At 43.7% G+C, this 25,054-nt stretch overlaps 1 long non-coding RNA gene across 5 annotated transcripts, besides 3 other annotated features; it reads right to left on the reverse strand.

Moving 5' to 3' along the window:
* Positions 1 to 1,902: 1,902 nt before the first annotated feature.
* CT70 (cancer/testis associated transcript 70) lies at positions 1,903 to 20,377 on the reverse strand. 5 transcript variants are annotated; one of them, NR_184160.1, is made up of 4 exons: positions 20,268 to 20,377; positions 19,399 to 19,885; positions 15,896 to 15,995; positions 1,903 to 2,138 (listed from the first exon to the last, which is right to left on the reverse strand). It is a non-coding gene; the product is annotated as a cancer/testis associated transcript 70 (long non-coding RNA). The 5 variants fall into 5 exon arrangements; NR_184158.1 differs by lacking the exon at positions 1,903 to 2,138 and having other exon boundaries at positions 15,508 to 15,995; NR_184157.1 differs by lacking the exons at positions 1,903 to 2,138; positions 15,896 to 15,995 and having other exon boundaries at positions 19,380 to 19,885.
* Positions 19,527 to 20,726: an enhancer, noted in NCBI's record as "MED14-independent group 3 enhancer chr9:107753226-107754425 (GRCh37/hg19 assembly coordinates)". NCBI's record gives its function as "activates an origin of replication core promoter dependent on BRD2, BRD4, P300/CBP and CDK7 cofactors, and independent of MED14, by STARR-seq in HCT116 cells {active_cell/tissue: HCT116}" and the evidence as "EXISTENCE:reporter gene assay evidence [ECO:0000049][PMID:35650434]".
* Positions 19,661 to 19,930: a silencer, noted in NCBI's record as "silent region_20148". NCBI's record gives its function as "represses an Ori minimal core promoter by ATAC-STARR-seq in GM12878 lymphoblastoid cells {active_cell/tissue: GM12878}" and the evidence as "EXISTENCE:reporter gene assay evidence [ECO:0000049][PMID:35858748]".
* Positions 22,242 to 23,070: an enhancer, noted in NCBI's record as "NANOG-H3K27ac-H3K4me1 hESC enhancer chr9:107755941-107756769 (GRCh37/hg19 assembly coordinates)". NCBI's record gives its function as "activates a minimal SCP1, AML or CMV promoter by ChIP-STARR-seq in primed H9 embryonic stem cells {active_cell/tissue: H9 hESC(primed)}" and the evidence as "EXISTENCE:reporter gene assay evidence [ECO:0000049][PMID:30033119]".

The following is a 25,054-nucleotide window of genomic DNA, read 5'->3' on the forward strand; positions in this document are numbered from 1 at the left end:
TTTCTTCTGTGGCTTGTAAAGTGGCTCTGAAGGAAAGTCATGTCTTAGGAAAGCAGAGGATAGGTTTCAGCTGTGCCTGCAATTGGAAATGTTGTCTCAGTGGGTTTCAAAGCTCCAGAGCCTTGGTGACCCCACATACGAAGTGAAGAGTAGAACTGGGTAGGTGGTGTCTATGGGTCTGACTGTGACCCCATGAAATTCCAACAAAGGAATTTCAGAAATGTTCTTCCAAGATAGTGGAATCCCTGGACTAGGCATGTAATGCAAACTTCCCAGGTGACTCAAATGACGGCCCCAATTTGGATGCTTGTTAGTAGTGTGTGTAAGGAGGCAGACCTGGTCTTATTTCTCAGTAAATTCCAAACCCAGAAGGAAAAACCAGGAATGGTCCTTTTTGGCATCCCCAGCCTCTAACATAGGGCAGAGGGCTTTGGTGTGCGTCAGTAGTCTGGAAGGAGGAGCTCAGCCTGGTCACTTCTGCATTGGAGCCTAGAGCCTTTTTTTTTTTTTTTTTTTTTTTGCCATACTCTTAAGCCTGTAGCAGCCACTGTTGATCTGGGGGCCTTAAAAACAAGTTTGGGCCAGGTGTGGTGGCACACCCCTGTAATCCCAGCTCTTTGGGAGGCTGAAGCAGTTGGATCACCTGAAGTCAGGAGTTCGAGACCAGAGTGGACAACATGGTGAAACCCTGTCTCTACTAAAAATACAAAAATTAGCCTGGCATGGTGGTGCATGCCTGTGATCCCATCTACTCGGGAGGCTGAGACATGAGAATCACCTGAACCCGGGAGGCAGAGATTGCAGTGAGCCGAGAACACACCACTGCACTCCAGCCTGGGCAACAGAGTAAGACTCTGTCTCAAAAACAAACAAACAAACGAAACAAGTTTGGTCTCCTAATTTCATAAAACTCTGAGTACCCAAGAGTCACCCTTGAAGAGGAGAAAGGGATGGAAGGAGGACCCCTCCCCCATGTTGTACAATGAGCAGAGTCAGGGCAGAAACACAGAGTTCACTGAGATTAGAGACATGTGAAGAGCCGCCTTCACAGGCTCTCACCTCTCCCTGATTGTATGTACGTGGGCTTTTTGCTTCTTTGCTTTTTGCTCAAGCTGTTGACTCTGAAATTTCTTCTCTCCATTATTTTCACCTGCAAAATCCATTCTGAGGAATGCTGTTTCTTCTTAACAAGTTCCTGCACATTACTTAAAACTCTCAGATATGTACTCCACCAGGAACCTTTCCCTGAGATTCCATCCACACCCTGCACTCAGTTGTTTACCTGCTCCTCTGAGTGGTCATTATACCTTGACATTCCATTCTTTCAGCTGAAGGGCTCTAAAACCTCGCACCATTTGGCCACCCTCTGTCTCTGGTACATCTCTACTCTTCTTATTCCAGCCATATTGGTACAACCTGCCTCAGATACTCTTCCTCCTGCCTCTCTATAATTACCTGAAAAGCTCCTTCGTCCTGTAATACTCCCTCTGTTGTGTTCTCTACAGAAGCTTTCTCTGACCCCAGAAAGAGTTTATTGCCCTTCACCCTCTATCTTGAGACTTTGCAATTTTTTTTAACATACCTATCACAGCACTGAACACACTACTTTACATAGAAATGTTCTGTTTATACACCTATCATCTGAGCTAGACTGTGGGTTCCTTTACCACAGAGACCTTTCTTCTCACCACTCTTGAGCTTGGGACTTAATAGATACTCATTAAATGTTGAATAAATGAATTAATGAATATTATTGTTTGTCTACATGTGTGTTCCTCCTACTTTTTTATGAAGTCTTTGAGGCTAGGAATAATGGCTTACTTATATCTTATTCCTGATAGCTAACTTAGTGCCTGGTATATAGTAGGCACCCAATAAATATTTTCATTGGATATACATGGATGAATGAATAAAGTCTTTTGTTAGTATCTCCAACCTGATATATCCTTTCCCTCCTTTGAAACCTCAAGCGCCTGGTGTTTCTCCTGTGGTACTTTCTTTAGCTTGGACTTCTCTCATTGTCTAATCCCCGCCAGTTGATGGTCAGCTCTTTGAGGCGGGAGCTGGGCCTTACTTCCCTTGGTGTCCCCTGAGAGTCTGTCACAGCGTGGGGCATATAGCGGGTGCTCCAAGTTGAACTGTTCTGAGAAAAATGAAAGTATCTGTGATTCAGAGCCACCATTCCAGCAATGAGAGTCCCAACAGCTATACATATTGAATCTCTTAATAACACCACTTTGCTTCATGCACAATTAATGTTGCCAAACTCTGGGTGATACAGGCAGGCAAAGTTGAAAAGACCACATCATTATTATTATTATTATTTGAGACAGAGTTTCACTCTTGTTGCTGAGGCTGGAGTGCAATGGCACAATTTCAGCTGCAACTTCTGCCTCCCATGTTCAAGTGATTCTTCTGCCTCAGCCTCCCGAGTAGCTGGGACCAAAGGCACATGCCACCACACCCAGCTAATTTTTTGTAGTTTTAGTAGAGACAAGGTTTCACCATGTTGGCCAGGCTGGTCTTGAACACCTAACCTCGGGTGATCCACCCACCTTGGCCTCCCAAAGTGCTAAGATTACAGACATGAACCACCGTGCCCAGCCATGAAAAGACCACATTATTTCATATTTGTTTTAGCTGTAATGCTCTGTACTCGTTGGTGCTCAGTCAATATAATTTTCAAATAAATAAGGACATGAGGCCATCTAAGTATGGATGAGCCCCAGAGTCCAAAAGCATAGCAGAAAGATGAAAATCACATCAGCCCCTGAGGAGAAATGAGAAAGTAGCCCCGTGCATTCCCCTTCAGGGTAGTGGCTTTAAAAGAATTGAAAAACTTGTTTTTCTCCATAAAAGTCTTGAGTGCAAACATGTAGTTGAAAACTATACACTTTGAACTTCAAAACGTTAAGGTTCCTGTAATCTGGCCATAGCTAAATAGAGAAGAGCAATCCTCAAGATTAGAATCTCTCAGTTGTGGGGAATTCTCATGTTGGCTTTTTGCCTGGGCAGTCATTCACTCTACTCCCTTCCTCTTTTTCCTCTTTCCTTCCTTTTTGTTTTTCTTTTATTCTGCCTATCTTTATTGAGTGTTAACTCTAAGCTAGGAACTCACTCTTCTAATTGCTTTATACTCATAATGTCTCACGAACCTCATGACAACTCTGTGATGTGGGTATTAGTATCTTCACATAAGGTATGACAAAACTGAGGCTCAGATTTAAGAACTTGCCTAGGGCCCCACAGCCAGTAAGTGCTGGGATCATATTTGAATCCAGGCTTCAAGTTCCAAAGTTTGTATCTTGTTACTTAATTCCTACATTATAAGTCCCCACTACACAGATCAGTGGTTCTTCTCTCACATACCTTACAGACAGCTGGGAAGACAGACAAGTGGGTCAGACGTTAGCAAAGAGTAACTCTGGAACACAGAGAAGGTCATCTATGTCGGGGGCTGGGGGCGGGGAGGAGGATAGGCCATGGCTTCCCAGGAAAAGGGTCACTCAAATTGAGATCTGAAGGGTAAATGGGGGTTTGGTCGATCCAGACAGGAGCATCATCTGGACAGAGGTACAGCAAGTACAAAAACCCTGGGGAGTGGGATGCAGCCCAAAACATTCAAGGAACTGTGTTTCTTTGAGTAAAAATCTTAGTCGTTCTGTTTTCAAATCATTATTATTTTTTTTATAGCTCACAGTGGCTGTCTGTGCTTTTGTCCAAAAGTGCTGAAGTGTAAGGGTAAGTGGTCATCGAAATGAATTAAGGTTTTCATGTCGGTTTCAAATGCTTTTGAGATGACCAGTGCACTCTGATATCCAAATAACATAGCAAAGTGGTCAATGCCACGTGCCCTGCTGTTCCACCAAACTCAGAGAGCTGGGAAAGGGTGCTAGGATCCTTTAGGGACACAAAAATCCAAAATCCAGAAGGCAAAGGAATTATCATTTATCACTTGCACAGGATATGTAAGTAAATCATTTTATTCTCGTGATATCAGTCATGAAATTTGAACTCAATTAAAAAAGAAATGATTCCAGGAGTCTCCTCAAACACTCAAATTATATTAAGATCTAAGGTAGTAGGTCCATGAGGATCCATTATACTATTCTCTGAATTTTTTTTTTTCTTTTTTTAGACGGAGTCTCGCTCTATCACCCAGGCTGGAGTGCAGTGGCGAGCTCTCCGATCACTGCAACCTCTGCCTCCTGGGTTCAAGTGATTCTCCTGCCTCAGCCTCCCAAGCAGCTGGGATTACAGGCGATCGTGACCACGCCTAGCTAATCTTTGTATTTTCAGTAGAGAGGGGGTTTCAGCATGTTGGCCAGGCTGGTCTTGAACTCCTGACCTCTGGTGATCCACCGCCTCGGGCTCCCAAAGTGCTGGGATTATTGGCCTAAGCCACCATGCCTGGCCGCTCCCTAATTGTGTATAAATTTTTCGTAATAGTTTTCTTTTTAATTTTTAATAGACTGTTTTGGGCTGGGAGTGGTGGCTCATGCCTGTAATCCCAGCACTTTGGGAGGCTGAAGCGGGCAGATCAGCTGAGGTCAAGACCAGCCTGGCCAACATGGTGAAACCCCATCTCTACTAAAAAAATACAAAAATTATCCAGGCTTGGTGGCACCCACCTGTAATCCCAGCTACTCAGGAGGCTGAGGCAGGAGAATCATTTGAACCTGGGAGGCGGAGGTTGCATTGGGCCGAGATTACGTCACTGCACTCCAGCCTGGGAAACAAGAGTGAAACTCCACCTCAAAAAAAAAAAAAAAAGACATTTTTAGGGAAGTTTTAGGTTCACAGCAAAATTGAGCAGAAAGTACAGTGAGTTCCAATATGCTCCCTGGCCCTACACATGCACAGCCTCCTCCACTAGCAACATCTAGTATTGCAGTAGTTTTGTAAACAATATAATCTTTCAATCAGATACAGATTACAGGTGCTCTATTTATTTAATGAACGTACAGTGAGAATCTCGTCATTTGCCTGGCATTTTGCTAGATTTTAGGGCTACATCAGTGAGCAAAACAAACATGATCCCTGCCCATAATGTTGTTTATAGTCTGGAGGAGAGAGAGCCATTAAAAGACAATTTCACGTGGCTCACGCCTGTAATCCCAACACTTTGGAAGGCCGAGGTGGGCAGATCACGAGGTCAGGAGATGGAGACCATCCTAGAGAACACGGTGAAACCCTGTCTCTACTAAAAATACAAAGAAATTAGCTGGGCTTGGTAGCAGGCACCTGTAGTCCCCGCTACTTGGGAGGCTGAGGCAGGAGAATGGCATGAACCCAGGAGGCGGAGCTTGCAGTGAGCCAAGATCGTGCCACTGCACTCCAGCCTGGGCAACAGAACGAGACTCCTTCTCAAAAAAAAAAAAAAAAAAGATAATTTCACAAAAAAACTAGTTATAAACTATGATGAGGGAAAGCAAAAGATGCTCAAAGGTGTATGATAGGATTACTGCCTTAGTATAGGTGGTCAGGAGAGGCTTTGCCAAAGAAAATCAGCAGGTAAACTGGGATCTGAAAGATAAATAGGAATTAACTAGGCAAAGATGGCAGGGGAAAGTGTTTTAGGCAAATGCAATAGCACATGCAAAGACGTAAGGCGAGAAGGAGCCTGACATATTTTAGGATCAAAGTTGAGCAGAAAATGACAGAGAGATGAGGCTGGAGAGCCAAGCGGCAGCCAGAACAATTGGGTGCTACAGGCTATGTCCAAGTGTTGTCTTTGTTTTTACCCAGAGTGATAGGAAATAGCGATGGGTCTTATGCAGAAAGTGACACAAATCGATTTTGTTTTAAAACAATGGCCCCCCAGAAATGATGGTATTATAATACAGTGGTAATAGTAGGAAGGCAGAAAAATGGGGCGATGCCAAAATAGTTTATGAGGTAGAAGCAACAAGACTTGGCATTTGCTCCTCTTCATAAACACAGGAGAGTGTTGGGTTTCTAGGCTTGCAAAATTGAATAGATTGTGGTGTATGTACTGGGATAGGAGCAAGGGCGATGGGAGGATAAGGAATTTGCGAGGGCTTTATAGCTATTTTTTTTTTTCTATTTCAAATAATAACCACTCTGTGCTAGGCACCATGGTAGGTAATTCACATTCAGTATCATAGACGCCCTCTTATCTGATGCAATAGGAACTGGCGGCAGGTTGATTCCCATACAACCATGGCTCAACAGGCTTTAAAAAATTCCATTTACTGCCCTCTGTTATAATTTCTAGTGCACATTGTTTATTACCTAGGTACCACCCATTGGCATATGGATTTATGAAGCTCAAAGTATTGTTTCCAAGTCCTATGCCACTTCTTTTTTCATGTGACTCACTAGGTAACTCCTATACCATTTTTCCTCTCTCTGAACTATACCTACTCCATGGTAACAGGTTTAACAGGTTTATCTAGGCATCTTTCCCCTCCCATTTCATGGTCAGTTAAAGTCCTCTTTATCAGGTCTGGTGATCACTGGACAAGCATGTTCTCAAACTCTTCATGGTAGAAGTTCATCTTCTTTGATCCATTATCCCAAATCCTCCATCCCATTACAGTTCCATTTTTCTCTGGCCTTGCTTACCTTCCTAAGGCACTGCAGTAATTTGCCCACTGTTACAGAAATCAGTCCCCAAATTCTCACTTTCCATTTCAAAGCCCTTATCAGAATAGACTATTGCATTATTTCCATCTTTATTCTAGACTGCCTCTCTATGTCTCTGAGGCCCTTCTGTTATTGATTCTCCTTAGCAGCAACCAAGAGCATACAGGATGTTTTCATGTATGTTGTCCCATTTAATCCTTACAACTCTCTTTAGTCCCTTTCCTCATGCCTGGCATATAATAGTCATCTAAATATTTGTTGAATTAATGAATGAACTGGGCCAGGTGCAATGTATTCTCAGCACTTTGGGAGGCCAAGGCAGGGGAGGATTGTTTGAACTCAGGCATTTGAGAACAGCCTGGGCAACATAGCTAGACCTGATGTCTACTAAGCATTTTTTGAAAGTTAGCCAGGCATGGTGGTGCACACCTATAGTGCCAGTTACTTGAGAGGCTGAGGAAGGAAGTGCACTTGAGCGTGGCGGGTCAAAGCTGTAGTGAGCTGTGATTGTGCCACTGCACTCCAGCCTGGATGACAGAGTGAGACCCTGTCTCAAAAAAACAAAAAAACCAAACCAAAACAAAACAAAACAAAAAACAACTCTGTGTTGCTGGAAAAGCAAAGAATTTTTTGTTTGAAGAGAGATCAGGCTCTAATTTCCATTTTAATAGTTTTAACATTTGTTTTCATAAATAACAGCCCATCTATAAACCGTTAATACTAATTTTTAACTATTTATTTATCATAGTATAGTTGATTCTGTATGAATGACTGTACTATTAAGTATGAACTTCATACTCCTAAGTGAATTATTGTTTAAATTACAGGCAAGACTATACACTACTAGACAGTAACAATTTAAAATTAAAAAATAAAATAGTTGGCCAGGCGTGGTGGCTCACGCCTGTAATCCCAGCACTTTGGGAGGCTGAGGCAGGTGGTTCACGAGGTCAGGAGTTCGAGACCAGCCTAGCCAAGATGATGAGACCCCATCTCTACTGAAAATACAAAAATTACCTAGGCCCAGTGGCGGGCGCCTGTAATCCCAGCCACTCGGGAGGCTGAGGCAGGAGAATCGCTTGAATCTGGGAGGCGGAGGTTGCAGTGAGCCGAGATCGCGCCACTGCATTTTAGCCTGGGTGACAGAGCAAGGCTCCATCTCAAAAAAATAAAATAAAAATAAAAAATAAAATATAATTTATTTCATGGTATCGCCAAAACACACATTTAGAATTTTAACTTTGACTGTACATTGAACATAGCTAGATGACTATTTTTATAATACTTTAATGCCTCTTCCAGGGTTGCATCAGACAGCATGTTTTTGCCTAGATAGTGCCATATTATTGTTTTGTGCATCTGGTTAGTACTTTATATTTACAAAATGCATGCCAATCATATTATTAGTATTTCAACAAAGCCCTACTGTGAGTTAGCTCAGCATTCCTGAAGACAAGCATAAAAAGAAGTATGCAGTTATCAAGAGGATGCTGACAGGGTTCAAGTGAAATATCGATGAACAATAATTCACTTTATTCAAAACAGAAGTTTCTCTAGATACATTTCAGCAGAACTGTCAAAACCTCTTTCTGTATCATTTGAATTTCCAGCCTTAGAAATGAACCCTAATTTTCAAAGAAATAAATGATTATTTTATTGGATCTTACTTTCAATGTTACGGCTTATGTTACTACTTAAAACTTACACACACAAAGGTCTAAGTTTATGAAGGCAATGTTTAAATCATTATTTCACATATGATAACTCACTTGCATTCTTAGCCAGAGAAACTTTTTGAAAGTCAGATTAAAGTAAAAATTAGATGATCTTGTGGGAGAGAATCAGAATCATTCAACTTAATGGATTTGGGAGGGCCGCAAATTGCCTGGAATTTGCCAGCTTAAAGATGAAATTTTAGTTAATTAGCCCAAAACACTTACCTATCATTACCTACATACAGACCAGCATAGTCCAAGAACCTGATCTAACTCAAGAGACGGCCCCAGTCCATAAAGGACTCAAAGAAAGAGAGGAGCAAACACAAATGAATGAAGTGAAATTATTTGTATCAGTTAGGGATTGTATTTGGCTGCCCAAACTTCCCCACACCTCAATCTTGGACTTCCATGAACTGTGAGTCGTTTATGCCACTCAGTCTGTGGTATTTTATTACAGCAGCCCTAACAAACCGATACACCCTGTTGATTTGCTTTGACAGGCCACTCCACATGTGGCCTCAGTTTCATGATTCAAGGTGGAGGCTCTACCTCCAGCCTCTCATCCTTGTTTCAGACAAAAAGAAGCAGAAACACGCTAAGAAGGAAGGGGACGACAACACAGACATCAGAAAAACAAGACTTTCTGGTGACTTCCCAGCAGACTTTCTCGTAGCTTCAGTGGCAAACCTGAGTCACAGAGTCTTCCACCCCACTCCCACTCCTGCCCAGCACTGTGGGAAATGGGGAGTAATGTTTCTTTTTTAAAAAATAAAAACTAGGCATATTGCCATCCCAAACAAAACTAAAGCTCTGCTAACAATGAAGAAAGGACAAATAAATATTAGGTAGGCAACCAGCAATGTCTACCATACTAGTTGTTTGAAATGTGAAGATAAAGACACATGAATGCATTGGTGCAAGAAAGAACATGTGGATTGGTGATTAGACCAATTAGAGGAAGAAGAGCTGGGCTAGAAGCAAAGGACCCAGACCCCACAATCCTGGCTTCAGGTTCTGCTTCTTCTATTTTCTTGCAGGTTGATTTGAGAAATACGCTTCACGTTTTTCAGCTGCTGTTTACTGTCCTGGAAAATAAGGATCATAAGGCTTTTCCTGTGTCCTCTCTCAAGGTTGTTATAAAATTTCAAAGTCGATAAAAATACAAAATTAGTTGGGCAGGGTGGCACATGCCTGTAATCCCAGCTACTTGGGAGGCTGAGGCAGAAGAATCACTTGAACCGAGGAGGCAGAGGTTGCAGTGAGCCAAGATCGCGCCACTGCACTTGAGCCTGGGTGACAGAGCACGACTCTGTCTCAAAAAAAAAAAATAGATTTCAAAGTCGAATAACGTATATAAAGTGCCTTGTATAATTGTGATGCAAGCATAAGCTGCAGGTGGAGTATATTTTAAATGTTCCCAAGTGTGCACAAGGAGCTACATTCAAGAATGTTAATTCCAGCATTATCTTTAATAGCCAAAGTTTGGTTTAAAAAAAAAAAAACCAAATGTCCATCAACAGAACAATAGATACATTTTTGTTAATTCATGTAGTGTGGCATAGCTTACAACACTTAAAATAAGTAAAATTTGACAAAGCTAGGTGGTAGGTACTAAGGTATTTGTTATGCTACTCTGTTTTTTTTTCTGTATGATTGAAACAGTTCCTAATTTTATAAATTAGCCAAAAAGAAAAAAAAAAAGCTTTGGGCAGTGTTTCTCAATATTTGGTCCACAAACCACCTGCATCAAAATCACTCCAGATAAATGCAGATTGCTGGACCCCTGCTAGGCCTAGGACCAGAGAAACTCTAGTCTGTATTTCAAACAAAACTACCAGGTGATTCCTAGAGGACAATTGAGGCAGGGATTGGGAGGAGAAAAGAGTTTCGTAGAAAATGATAAAACCTGGGGCTGAGGGAAGAACTCAGGTAGAGGCTGGGGGAGTGCTGAAATGTCATACCCCTCAGAGGCTAGGGTGGAACGCTTGAGCTGGCTCTGCTGGACAGAGACATGGAGGGGAGTTCATTAGTGAGCAGCATCTATTAGTTAGGATTAAACTGTGAGACATGGAGAACCCCAAATATCAGCGGTTTAAGTGGAAAAGCCTCGTATTTCCCTCTCGTGTGAAAGAAGTCTGGAGAAGCCAGGTGTGCTCCACACTACTGCTCTGCTTGCCTCACCCGCCTCTTGGCCTTAGATGACTGTTGAGCTTCAGTCACCATGACCCCATTGCAACCAACAGGAAGGAAGAAAAGGAGAGAAAAATGGCCTATTCCCTCCCTTTAAGGAAACTTTCCAAAAGTATCACAAACTCTTTCTGCTTATATCTAGAGTGTAGTCACATGGCCATTCCTAGCTGGACGGAAGACGAGGACACTTTGTGTTTTATTCCGGATGGCCAAGTGCCTACCTAAAAATGGGGGTAGAGGAGGCTTTATCACCATTGAGAAAGAGACAGAATCAGGAGAAGGTTAGTGGCTTCTGTCACACAAGTCCAGACGGTTAAGAGCCTATGACAGTCTCTTTGAAAAGATCCAGTAAAAGGCTGTGAAGATTACAGGATCTGAGAGATGCTGGTCAGGTGATTTCTGGTGTAGCAGTTAAGCTAGATGCTCGCTTCTCAAGTGTAATTCATTGGCCAGCAGCATGGACATCACCTGGAAGCTGGCTAGAACTGCAAAATCAGGCTCAACCCCAGCCCTGCTAAATCAGAAGCTGGATTTTAACAAGATCCCAAGTATGGGGCTAGAAGATCTCAGAAAAGAGAAAAGTTAGAAACTGGGGAGATTGGTAGCACAGACTAGAGACGTGGGAGTCTTGTAGGTAAAGTGATGGTTGGGCTTCTGTGTGCCAGTTGGCTCCTTAAGGAAGTGAATGTGAGACAGGAAAATAGGGAGTTAGGGTAACCAAGGGTTAAGATATTTGTTATGTTACAAATGGCAAAAGAACAGCAGGTGCAGCCAGTTCTAGGCAAGATTAGGCAGCATACAGGCCACATCCTCACTCTTGCGATAACAAGATAGAAGTTTCCACTTTAGCCTCGGATTGACCACAGGCCAAGTCTCCACTTCAGCCTCTGATTGGCCACAGGCCAGGTCTTCATAGGGTGTAACCAGTTGGAGGCCTCTAAAGGGTACCTAGGGGTGTTACCAAATTCTTTTAGTTTAATAAAAACTCTAAAGAACATGGCAACCCTGCCGTGCTTGGTGGCTCATGCCTGTAATCCCAGCTCCTTGGGAGGCTGAGGTGGGCGGATCACTTGAGGCCAGGAGTTGGAGACCAGCCTGGCCAACATGGTGAAACCCCATCTCTACCAACAACAACAACAATAAAAAAACAGAAATTAGCCTGGTGTGGTGGTGCACACCTGTGATCCCAGCTACTCGAGAGGCTGAGGCAGGAGAATCACTTAAACTGGGAGGCGGATGTTGCAGTGAGCTGAGATCACACCACTGCACTCCATCCTGGATGACAGAGTGAGACTCCATCTCAAGTAGAAGAACATTGTAGTTGGGGCTCTAGAGCCGCTTGCTGGAGCCTGCTCCCACTCTGTGGAGTATGAACTTTCACTTCAATAAATCTGCACTTTCATTGTTTCTGTCTTCTCTCATTGCTTCATTCTTTTGTTGCTTTGTGCATTTTGTTCAATTCTTTGTTCAATGTGCCAAGAACCTAGACAACTCACAGTCAAGACTTTCCATCCTGTAACAAATGCAGAGGTGGCCAGAAAGCTGAGTGCTTCAACTCAGGGATGAGAGTGGAAGAAATTGCCAGAAAATAATTAGGAACAAGCGAAAGAAAAGCACTTGGAAAGAAAGCAGTCTTGAAAACAAACTTTAAAAGAGTATCAGTGAAATACAGATCCAATTACCCTGCCCTGTGGACCAGGCAGTCCTTAATCCTCACAACAACCTTGAGTGGTAGGATCTATGATTCCCATTTCACGTGATGAAACCGAGCTTCAGAGATGATGGCTTGCCAAGATCACACACTAAATACTGACATAGCTCACTATAACATCTTGTAGAGATCTGACTAGTTTACAAAGCATGATTAAATGCATTATCTAATTTAAGCCTCACAATTACTTTGTAAAGTAAACAGAAAGTGGCTGTTAATTTTGCAAGTAAAGAATTCCAGGACTTTTGATTCTCAGTCCAGTGTTGTTTTGTTTTTCTCTCATTTTTCTTCCCTTATTTCTTGACACATTGATGATAATGAAGAATAGATGTGAGTACAGGATTCCTCAAACCTGAATTTAACTGTGTTTGTGAGGGTCCAGCTCAGGGACAGACATTCAGTAAACCCTCCAATGATAACTGATATTGTTGTTTTTCTTATAATTACAACTATTGGCTTTGTTCAATAAAGCAATATTTATAAAAGTAATTTATTAGAATGAGAAGTACAGAAACCAAAAATGGAGGGGAAATTTGAATGAAGATACGATGTCAGAAATGAGGGAAGGAACTCTAAATAATACTTCGGAGCCTGAACTTTGGAGTTAGACAAGTTGAGTTCACATGCCAGCCCTGCTGCTTATCAGAATGGGGAGTTTGGGCAAAGTGGCTAACAGCCCATCGCCTCCACTTCCTCATCTTCAAGGCTGCCACTTCACGAGATATTATTATGAAGATTGAAAGAGATAAAGTACATAAGATGCTAGCCCAATGCTCAGAATAAATATTTAATAATTACAGCTATTATTAAATCCTGGTTATGGATGGAAGAGTGGACTTGGTAAAAGTCCAAGCCGCAGCAGGTTTGAGAATAAAATAACCTACATTGACTGCTTTGAGTGTTTATCAGTTTGTAGACTTCATTTATATCAACTTTAAAAAGGATAATCTCTCTTCCTCAGGCCCACTGTTTTTACACTCTGATTATAATTAACTTGCCTCTTAATGACACTGCATTCATGACTGATGTTTCCCAGTTGTAGGTTTTTTAATTCCTATATTTCTCATAAACGTATTTGGTAACTGAATCTAGCAAATGAGTACAAAACAAAGAGTCATAGCCCTTTACCTTTAATGTCTATGAAGTGAAAGAGATCAAAGGGGAAACTCTGAACTTACTGTCTCATTTATGAGAAGCTTTGGAACAATTTATGAAGGCGACAGATGTTCTGCTTCCTAGAACCTTTTTGTTCCATCCCCAAATCTATATTTTCCTTTAGTATATTGATTTCTTGTTACAGAGCAGGAATAGCTATTAAATATCTTTATTTGGAAGCTTGGGGGTGCCAGAATGTGAGAGGAAAAATGCATCAGTAGCTAAGGGACAGTTGATGGGGTGGGTGCAGGAGGGCCCAAGAGAAGGTAATCTGTGTCTGGGAAATTATTTACAATTTGAAAGGCACAGAGACTTGCCAGAGGAAGAAAAGAGGGAGCAAATGAGAGAAGCATCCAATCACGCTGAGCCCTTTGATGGATGAGGAAGATACTTTAAAAGATGAGAAAGCACTTTCCCTATCAGCCAGATGGCTCATCTAATCTCTCTTTGTAGCTAGCAGCAGAGGGGAAAGATCCAGTGTAAAAAATTATGGAATATCTGTTGGGAATAAGCTGATGCAAACCAATCACAAATCGAAGTGTTTTTCTTTTCAGTTTTGATGAGGGGACACTGATTTCTATTTGGGGGTGGGACTGGATTTTGACTACCAAAATGTAGCTGGAAATTGAGTTGATTGATTATGAACAATGTTCCAAACACTGTTTCTCTCAGCAATGCAAATAACATTTCTGTGGTGTATTTATAGTTTCAAAGCATCCTCACCTGCATTCTCTGATTTTATCTTATAAATAGCCCTGTGAGGTAGGTGTCATTATCCTCATTTTATACTTGAGATAAGTGAGGCTTACAGAAATTAATTAACAACAGTCTCCAAACTTGGGTCTGTTTTACTATACTAGCTTTCTTTGGGTCTTCCAACAAATGGCAATCTATGGCCACAGTTCCCACAAACAGCTTTCTTTTTTTTTTTTTTTTTTTTTTGGTGGGGGGAGGGGCGGGGGGCATCTCTGCCAAGCATCTCCTAGATTTCCATAATGTTTTTCCCTCCAAGCCAATTCCATGATCCTTGGCATCTCTCAAAGGCCTGAAGAGGCCACCTGAGGTTGCCTGGAGGGTGAGTGCTAGGAGTGGAAAAGGGTGGCACAGTCCTATGAGCCACTAAGCTACTGCTTCCCTTGGCTTTGGGGGACGCGGTGTCCTGGTGACATCACTGTCCCCTTGCAGTGCCCTCTCTTGTATCCCCTTAGAGCTCCTGGGCTGCCTTCCAGCCATCCTAAGTATCCCATCCCTTCAAAGTCTGTTTACTTCCATCCCCCTCAGGACATCTCAGCCAGGAAAGCAATCACTTTTTGCACATTACTATCTCCTTAAGATAATTTCTAGCTTAGAGAACAAACAGCCAGGGAAGACAATGTCTTCCTTGGCCACACTGGACATGCTCCATGGGCAGAAAGCCTCCAGGCTTGAAGCTACTTCTCCACTTCCTCCCCTCCTGATAACTTCCTGGCCTGTTGGAACCTCTTCCACAGTCGGTGGTCAATAAGCTTAAAATTGTGCCTACACCCAGAGGACAGGGAGTCTTGCATCAGCTTGGCAGTGCAGAGTAACGCCAGCTATAGTTGCAGAGACCACAATAGTTATTAGTTAGAATATACATGTGCCTGTATTTGAACTTTGGTATCACCACTTGCTAACTGTGGTACGTTCTCTGTGACTCAGTGTATGCATTTTTCAAGTGGGGTAATAATATTACATATAGAGTTATAATGAGGATTAAAAGTGTTGTATATGTAAAGTGCTTAGAATTGTTCTGGCATAAAAAAAACTCCATAAGGATTCAATCAATTAAATTGTTTAAATTCCACTTTTTGAAGTGCCTACTCTATGCTAGGTTCTTTACATCTGAAATTCAGATGCCAGCTGGAGTTATCCTGACCCCTCAGATGGAAATAAGTGGTTAAGACCTCCTTTTCTATGGATTATGGTAAACCAAATAATCTTCCCAAGCCTTCTTTGAATTCCAAAGGGTTCCTTATATTTCTTGATTAGCTCAGGCTCCCAACACCAGCTTCTTCAGAATTATTCTCGTAAGGGATTGTTTTGCTGTAGTCCACATTGTATCTCACAGATGTTTAACTCAAATTAATACTCACAGGAAACTTATAGAGGCGTTCACGTATGTAGTGACATTTATTAAAGTTTGGAAAAAAGGAGGTTTTACATTACAAAAAAACCGTCAATTTTATTTTATTTATTTATATATATTTTTTGAGATGGAGTTTCGCTCTTGTTGCCCAGGCTGGAATGCAATGGTGAGATCTCGGCTCACCACAATCTCCGCCTCCCAGAACCCAATCAATTTTAAATTCAGTATCAGTCATCTCTATTCTTTAAGGCCTTGGACCAGGTCCACATTTTAAGATCTGGCCTCCTGCTGAATTCCTTAATCTTTCTCTCTCTTCCTTTTTCCTAGTGTCTCAGTCCATTCAGGCTGCCATACCAAAATATCTTATGCTGGGTAATTTATAAACAATAGAAATTTGTTGCTCACAGTTCTGGGGGCTGAGAAGTCCAAGATCGTGGTGCCAGCATGGTCATGTTCAGATGAGGGCCCACTTTCTGATTCATAGATGGTACCTTCTCACTGTATCCTAACAAGGTGGAAGGGACAAATAAGCTCCCTTAGTCCTTTTTATAAGGGCACTAATCCCATTCATAAGGGATCTCTCCCCATGACCTAAACACTTCCCAAAGACCACGTCTTAATACTATTGCATTGGAGATTAAGTTGAAACATGTTAATTTTGGGGAAACACATGCATTCAGACCATAGCCCCTACTATCTTTCCTCCTTACGCCTTCACTCCAGATTGCCCCAGACTCCAAATTCTTGTTCCATAATGCAGAAAAATCCATTAAGTTCTCTCTAACCAGCTGTTTAAAAATCTGGCCAGCTGGGTGCAGTGGCTTACACCTGTAATCCCAACACTTTGGGAGGCTGAGGTGGGAGAATCATTTGAGGTCAGGAGGTCAAGACCAGCCTGAGCAATGTATTGAGACCCTATCTCTACAAAAATTAAAAAATTAGGTGCAGTGGCATGCACCTGTGGTCCCAGCTACTCAGAAGGCTGAGACAGGAGGATTACTTGAGCCCAGGTGGTTGAGGTTGCAGTGAGTCATGATTGCAACACTGAGCAACAGCCTGGGCAACAGAGCAAGACCTTGTCTCCAAAAAAAAAGAAAGAAAAAAGAAAAACCTGGCTAAACTTTTAAAGACCACTACGTCTGTCACTCAAAAACCTTGCTAAAGATTAAAAAATTATCTTTTTAAGGACTTCTTTAAATTATTGGCCAGAAATTAAACTCATTCTCATTTGTGTTTGTATGTAGATGGAAAAGAGAAGAGGATTTTTTTTTTTCTTGGAGATAGAGTCTCATTCTGTTGCCCAGGCTGGAGTGAAGTGGCACACGATCTTGGCTCACTGCAACCTCCACCTCCTGGGTTCAAGCGAGCCTCGTGCCTCAGCCTCCTGAGTGGCTGGGATTACAGGCATGAGCCACTATGCCAGGCTAATTTTTGTATTTTTAGTAGAAACGGGGTTTTGCTGTGTTGGCCAAGTTGGTCTTGAACTCCTGACCTCAAATAATCCGCCCGCCTCCACCTCCCAAAGTGTTGGCATTACAGGCATGAGCCACTGCACCCGGCCAAGGGCGGTTATTAAACACACATTATCTCAATTAGTTCTCACAGCAATACTGCAAGGTAGGTCTGATTCCCCCCAATTTTATAACTAGGAACACTGAGAACCAGAGAAATTAAAGAGTACACTCAAGGTCATCTAGTTGGGAAGGGGTGAACAGAGTCAAGACCATGGGACCACGTCAGTCTGACACCAAATCCCTCACTGCTTTCATTACACCACACTGCCTCATATGTTATGCTTGGCCTTATGAATCTGAAATATCCCAAGGTGATGACAGAGATTAGAGGAAACAAATGCAACTCCTCCCTGAGGGAGCCAATTGCATCTTGGACAACCCCAAGCTGTTTCTCCTGGCTGCCATCTTAATGTAGATGTCTTCGTACACCATGCCCAGACCTGAGCCCAGCCTTCCAGGTGGGATCTGACCAGAACACAGGAGAGCAAAACCACCCACTATATTCTTTACTCTGGATTTCTAGTTATGAAATCTGAGGTGCCTTTGGCTCCTTGAACCCAAATTGCATTGCTGATTCTTTCCTGGCTTTCAGCCAGTGGAAACCCCTAAAACAAAGGTCCCCCTTAAGTTCCGGCATCAATCCCAGGGTGGATCCTTGCTTCACCACTTCTTATGAGAATTTAGGCAACTCAGCTCTCTTATTTAATCAAGGGTATTGTTGATTGCACTAAAAGAGACAACAATACTATTTATCTCATAAAACTGTTAGAAGAATTAAATGAATTAATGCATGCATAATGCTAACCCAGTATCTGGAACATTGTAAAGTTCAACAAACATTAGATGTAATAGTAATACTTACAAATGTCCATCTCTTCTCCCACTTCCAAACAAATTTGATCTCTCCACTTCCCCATCTTCCCCCACTCCCAACACATACACACACAAACCCATTACTGAAACGCACTCTCCTAAAGCAGAAAATCTGGCCTTAGGAACCCTGGATTCAGTTTTTCTGTTTGTTTGTTTGTTTGTTTGTTTTGAGACAGAATCTTGCTCTGTCACCCAGGCAGGAATGCGGTGGTGCAATCTCAGCTCACTGCAACCTCCACTTCGTGGGTTCAAGTGATTCTCCTGCCTCAGCCTCCCAAATAGCTGGGACTACAGGCATGTGCCATCACGCCTGGCTAAATTTTTTTGTATTTTTAGTAGAGATGGGGTTTCACCATGTTAGCCAGGCTGGTCTCGAACTCCTGACTTCAGGCAATCTGCCCGCCTCAGCCTCCCAAAGTGCTGGGATTACAGGCATGAGCCACCACGCCTGGCTGGATTCAGTTCTATCACATGCTAGCTGCATGACCTTGAGAAAGATGCTCAACTTCTCTAAGCTGCAGTTTCTTCCTCTGTAAAATGGAAACCATAATTGTGTATTGACTTAACTCACAGCATCATCGTGAGGATTACATAAGGTAGAAATATAAGGAAGCTCCATATTTATTGGTACATTATTTCCATTGTCCTTGTAATGATGTTGGTAGTTTTTTTAAAAACTAATTACAGGTCTTTGTACTAATCTCTATTAAAATGTATACACTTATTTACGATTTATCAGATTAACATTGCTGCTCTATGTTCAGCCTTTGTATTTTTTTCTCATGTGATACATTTATCTGTGAGTTTTTAAAAACTCTATTCATATTAAAATGACAGCATAGGACCCCTATCCCTGCTAGTCACAAATTTTATTTTATTCATTAACAATAAATCCACAACAATTGGCTACATTATATACTGTTCTGGGGGCAATGACAGAGTCAAAGAAATAAAATTTGGGGTGTGTGCCCTCGAGTCTGTTAGTCCTCTGGGGAAATGACCTACATTCTTAACCTTAAATGTTAGTATCTTTTTTTTTTTTTTTTTTTCAGAAGGAGTCTCCCTCTGTTGCCCAGGCTGGGGTGCAGTGGCGTGATCTCAGCTCACTGCAACCTCCGCCTCCTGGATTCAAGCGATTCTTCTGCCTTAGCCTCCTGAGTAGCTGGGATTACAGGCATGTACCGCCACGCCCGGCTAATTTTTGTATTTTTAGTAGAGACGGGGTTTCACCATGTTGGCCAGACTGGTCTCTAACTCCTACCCTCAGGTGATCTGCCCGCCTCGGCCCCCCAAAGTGTTAGGACTACAGGCCTGAGCCACCACGCCCTGCCCAAATGTTAGTATCTTGAAATAGTTATGCGTCATGCCAAAGAAATCTAGAAGACCTGAAACTCTTCAATCACAGAACAAACTTGTAACTTCGATGGCAGTTATCCTTAACAAGATTCCCTGCGGGCCCTCTCTGAAACGGAGGAGATGTGACATTATAGAACTGCAAAATCTTAGGATTCATCACCTAACTTTAATGCTGAAGCGTTTGGAGATCATTCGGACTAACCCTCATGTTTTACAGTTGAAGATAATGATACTGGAGAAGGACTCATCCCAAATCACCCGTCGGTGGCAGAGCCTGGACAAACCTATGTCTCCTCCCTTCACTCGTTTGGGGTTGTTGCTGGACTGCAGGGACTCGAAGTAAGTAGAGAGGGGTACAGGGCACTGGAAGAAGAGGTATTTTGCAGGAGTCTGTTTTTTCCTGCTCCCAAATCGGTGGGATGTCAGCGAAGGATGGGTCTCTGGAGGAGAGGAGCTAACAAGGTCTTCTGAAAACCATCACTGAGGGTGCTGTGGTTGGGAACTCGAAACCTTGCCAGTTAAAAACGTTTCTGCGAATGTGGTTTCTGAGGGCGAGGAAGCCCTCCCCCGCCCCAGCGCCGGCCCCGCCCGCCGGGTGCCCGACAGTAACCCCGAGGCGTGCGGCAGCCCCAGCTGTCTTCAACGTAGCCATCTGGAAGACAAAAACCAGAAAATGTGCGCCTTCTCATTTGAAACCTGGTCTTTAAGTCCGGCCCCTCCCCAGCAAGAATGGGAACATTTAGTTTGCACCCACGTGGCTCTTCCGCGGGCTCATGCTCCACTCGGAAGCCCGGAGCTCTGTCCGGAATAGGCCAGACAGAGCTCCCTTCCCATCTGCCTTTTGCAGGAAGAAGGGATGTGGGGCAATCGGCACAGCTGAATAGGGGCCAGCTGTGGGAAAAGGGAGAGCGTGACAACAGATGGGGGGAGGAAGGAACGAGGAGTAATGGGGCGTCAGGGCCAGGGTGGCAGCTCAGAGGGCCCAATGTCGCCCCGCCAGACCCAGAATTAGGGCACGTCTGCAAAGCTCACACCCTCCATTTGAGAGCCGAACCGAAACCATCACAAGATGAAACCTCCGGACTCCCAGCCGCGGCGGGCGGCGGGCAGCGGGCGGCGCGCAAGCGCGCGGGGCCCCGAGTCTGACCTCGAGTTACCCCGCGCGGCGAGTCGCAGCGAAGTAGGTGAAAGGTAACTAGCAGACGCTGCTCTGGGCGAAGGCTGCGGCGCGCGTGCGCGGGGCTGGGCCTTGGGTTCCGTTCTCCCCCAAGTTTCTCCAAGTCTGCACTTCGCCAAACTATGGGTGTGTCCTGGGCCAGTGCATGAAGCGATGGAGTGGGGACATCGAGCCGATTTGGAAAATTCCTGCCACCCACTCTCTGTGGAGAAACGAGGTCTAGACGCGGTGCAGGGGAGAGAACCACTTACTGAACGCCATGTGTGTGCGCGGCGGGCGTGGTGCTGGGCGCCCTTCTTTTGATTCTCACAACCCTTTGAAAGACCTCAAAATGACCCCTCATGGAAGAGGAAACTGAGGCCCTGTGAGTTCATTTAATTGGCCCACGGTCATCCAATCAGTTAAGGGCAATTTCCATGAAGGGTCCGTGCTTCAAAGTGGGTTTTTGGCCCTAAAACACACAAACGACACCTGTAGCACATTTGGCAAGGCACTCTCATAGGCATTACTCATTCCATCCTTATCAGAAACCTATGAGGTAGTAGGTGCTGTGACTATTTTCTTTTTGCAGATGGGGAAACTGAGACTCAAGGAAGTTGTTCTGGAATCCCACAGAGAATATCAGAGCTGAAATTTTCTGTCCTATTTTAGAGAGATAAAAAGCTGAAAGCTCAAAGTCACGTTCTCCCATCGCCAATCTGAAGACCTATGAGAGCTTCATGCTCTATGGGGTGAGTGGCCCAGGCCATGCTAAAGACAAAGAAGTTCTCATTATTGGAGGTCTCCTTTGAGGGTTTCCATTACAAAATTACAAAGTGATCAACCCTTCTAGAAGACAGTTGGGTTGTTCACTTATTAAGGGCAGGGACAGAGTGCACTGCTCACAGTTGCTGAATTTGGTGTTCGTTCGGTGAGCTTATAGCTGAATGAACTCATTTTCAATCCCAGATTATTCAAGGGGGAAGCTGCCTTTGTGTCAGGCAATGGGTGAAGTAGCTTGTTTGTGACTTTTCCCAGAGGAGGGTTCTTGCATTCACGCAGCAAACATACTTATCATGCACTCTGCGGTGTTTATATAGCTGGGAAACAGATGGGAACTTCAAAGGACAGGAATGCTTTGCTTCTCTTGAAAATTCTGCTCTGAGTATTTGTCTTAGTCTTCTCGTGCTGGGTACTTAAACAACAGACATTTATTTCTCATAATTCTGGATGCTGGAAGAACAAAATCAAGGTGCAGGCTGATTTGATTCCTGTTGAGGCCCCACTTTCTGGCTTGCAAACAGCCATCTTATCACTGTACGCTCTTAGAGACTTCTCTCTAGAGTCTCTTCTTATAAGGCATGAATCCCATCGTGGGGTCTCCACCCTTATGACCTCATCTAAACCAAATTACCTCCCAAAGGACCCACCTCCTAATCATCATACTGGAGGTTAGGCATTCAACCTATGAACTGGGTGGAAGGGAGCACAAAAATTCACTCATAACAATCCTAGATGTCTGGATGTTTGCCCATCTCCATGCATGGTAGAAGCCATGTAATCCCCCTACCCTGTCAGGGTTTCCTGTGACACAAGAAGTAGATCACCCAGGGAGGGGCACCGGAACGCAGTCATAACTCCTCCCACCCCACCAACCCCTTGGTGCCTCAGCTGCTCTTCAGAATCACAAAGGCCAGAAAACAGAAGCAGCTCTCCTCCTCTCCTAGGAGGCTTTGGAAACAGAGGGAGATGCAAATGGAAATTCCCCAAAAGGGAAATGCAAGGGAAGCAGAAAAAGCTGCAGCAAAGTGGGTCTGCCCCCGCTACCCTCATTTCTTTCCAAGAATCCCCTCCCTTGAGTGTGCCGTCAGAGAATTGGAATGTCACTGCCCTGTCCCCCAAGACTGTGTTGCTGCTCAGGCTGATAAAGACAAAGGCTGCAATTGGGCTCGCTTTGCCCGAATGTAACCCTGCCTTGAAGCCTTCCTGAGGTGACCAGGGGAGATCATGTGCTGCCTGATGCTGTCAAGATGCCTGTGTGAGCTGCCTGCCTGCTGGTGTTGGCAGGAAGAAGGCTGCTTGGTAACTTACATCAGCACCGCGTGGAGGGTTGAGAGCTTTGGCCATGCCGGGCCCTGTGCTGACACTTGTAGTTGAATTCCCTCCCATATGATCCTCCACAGCCCTATGCAGTAAGTGTGTGACCCCCGTTTTGGAGAGTATGAAACTGAGGCTCTGAGGAGGTAAGTGATTTCCCCACATCACCCAACCAGTAAAACGCATGGCTGAGACTCAGCTCCTTTCCTGCTCTAGGCATTTAAACCCAACACCCCAATAGGACAGGTTCTTGCAGCTGGCTGGGAAAATTGTCCCTAGGTTTCTTCCTTTCTTCCCTAATTATCCCAGAGAAATTTCAATAAAAATGTAGAACAAGGAAAATTCCAGGCCTTACACACAGTTAAATAATGAGTGACTTTATAGAGGAATGAATGAATGAAGGCAGAGAATGACGGTCGATAAAGTGCCTGGAATTGTGCCTGACACATAGTAAACACTCAATCACTATTTCCCAAATGGTTGAATAAAGGAATAAGAATATCAAAGTATATGGAAGGGAAGAATTTCAGTGTGAGATGCAAATATTTTAGGATAGCAATTTCCCTACCTTAAGCTCACAGATAAAGTTTATGGTCCTGTTGAAATTTGAAGTTCTTTTTTTTTTTTTTTTTGAGATGGAGTCTCGCTCTGTCGCCCAGGCTGGAGGGCAGTGGCACGATCTTGGCTCACTGCAACCTCCGCCTCCCAGGTTTAAGCAATTCTCCTGCCTTAGTCTCCTGAGTAGTTGGGATTACAAGTGTGCGCCACTACACCCAGATAATTTTTGTATTTTTTTAGTAGAGATGGGGTTTCACCACGTTGGTCAAGCTGGTCTTGAACTCCAGACCTCGTGTTCCTCCCACCTCGGCCTCCCAAAGTGCTGGGATTACAGGTGTGAGCCACGGTGCCCAGCCTGAAGTTCTTATTTTTAAATTATTGGTGAGAGATTTACTGACCCTAGTAGGTTATCAGTAAAAATACAGAAAGTGGATGCAGCAAAGCCCTGGTCCATCTGGTCCATGTCCCCTCCCTGTTGAGTTGCTTCTCTGGGTGTCTCGTATGTGATTTGTGCTGCTGGCTTTTATCATTAGGAAAGGCTTTCATTCCATTCAAAAAGAGCTACTGCTCTTTATGAAGCACTAAGTAGGTTAGTGCATAAGATATGGTCTTTGCTTCCTAGGTGAGGAAAACGTAAGTTCCGACGTTTGAGTCCCTGCCCTTGTTAAGGTGTATATTTCAACACATCACTTAATCTTAGCAATCCTCATTTTCCCCATATATAAAATGAGTGTGCCAGGCACAGTGGCTCATGCCTGTAATCCCAGCACTTTGGGAGGCCGAGGCGGGTGGATCACCTGAGGTCAGGAGTTTGAGAACAGCCTGGCCAACATGGTGAAACCCCATCTTTACTAAAATATAAAAATTAGGGCTGGGCACGGTGGCTCAGGCCTGTAATCCCAGCACTTTGGGAGGCCAAGGCAGGTGGATCACAAGGTTGGGAGTTCGAGACCAGCTTGGCCAATATGGTGAAACCCCATCTCTACTAAAAATACAAAAAATTAGCCAGGTGTGGTGGCACGTGCCTGTAGTCCCAGCTACTCAAGAGGCTGAGACAGGAGAATCACTTGAACCCGGGAGGTGGAGGTTGCAGTGAGCTGAGATCACACCAGCCTAGGAGACAGACTGAGACTCCGTCTCAAAAAAATAAACGACATATATATATGTGTGTGTATATATATGTGTGTATATATATGCATATATATGTTTGTATATATGTATATATGTGTGTATATATGTCTGTATATATGTATATATGTGTGTGTGTGTGTGTGTGTGTGTGTATATATATATATATATATATATATATATATATATAAGCTGGGCATGGTAGTAGGCACCTGTAATCCTAGCTACTTGGGAGGCTGAGGCAGGAGAATCGCTTGAACCCGGGAGGCGGAGGTAGCAGTGAGCAGAGATTGTGCCATTGCACTCCTGCCTGGGCGACAAGAGTGAGACTCAGTACCCCCACCACAAAAAAACAATCAATAAATAAAATGAGTGCATATATAAAATGAGTAATTTAAGGATAGCAAGGGAATTTAATAACATGATATGTAAAAAAGAGGCGAGGGTGGGAGAAAGGGGTTGATAAGTACCAAATGCTATTAATTTAATTTAATTTGAAGAGAATATGGGGAGTGTTTTCTCATCAGTCACGAAGCCTAGCCTCTCCAGGAAAAGGGAATGGAGAGCTATACATTTGAGATGTAAGAGGGATTCTGGGCTAGGGGGTTTCCAGGCAGCATCAAGAATGGGAGAGCAGAAAGTTTTACTGCCTGGGAGTAGTGTAGAAACTCAGCAAATATGTCTTGGGCCTTGCATCTGAGCTTTGGGCCTGTCTGCCTCTTCCTTTCTGAGATATGAATGTGTCCCTTGACTACAGTGGCTGCAGGAGGAAGGAGCATCCCAGAACAGCTTAATTCAGTGAGAAATCTGCTGTCTCACTGTGTCTCTGTCTTGCTTGGGTCCAGTCTGAATTCCCAGCAGCCAGAATTTATTGAGCCTTCG

Source organism: Homo sapiens, chromosome 9 (genome assembly GCF_000001405.40).
Source record: "Homo sapiens chromosome 9, GRCh38.p14 Primary Assembly".
NCBI lineage: Eukaryota > Metazoa > Chordata > Mammalia > Primates > Hominidae > Homo > Homo sapiens.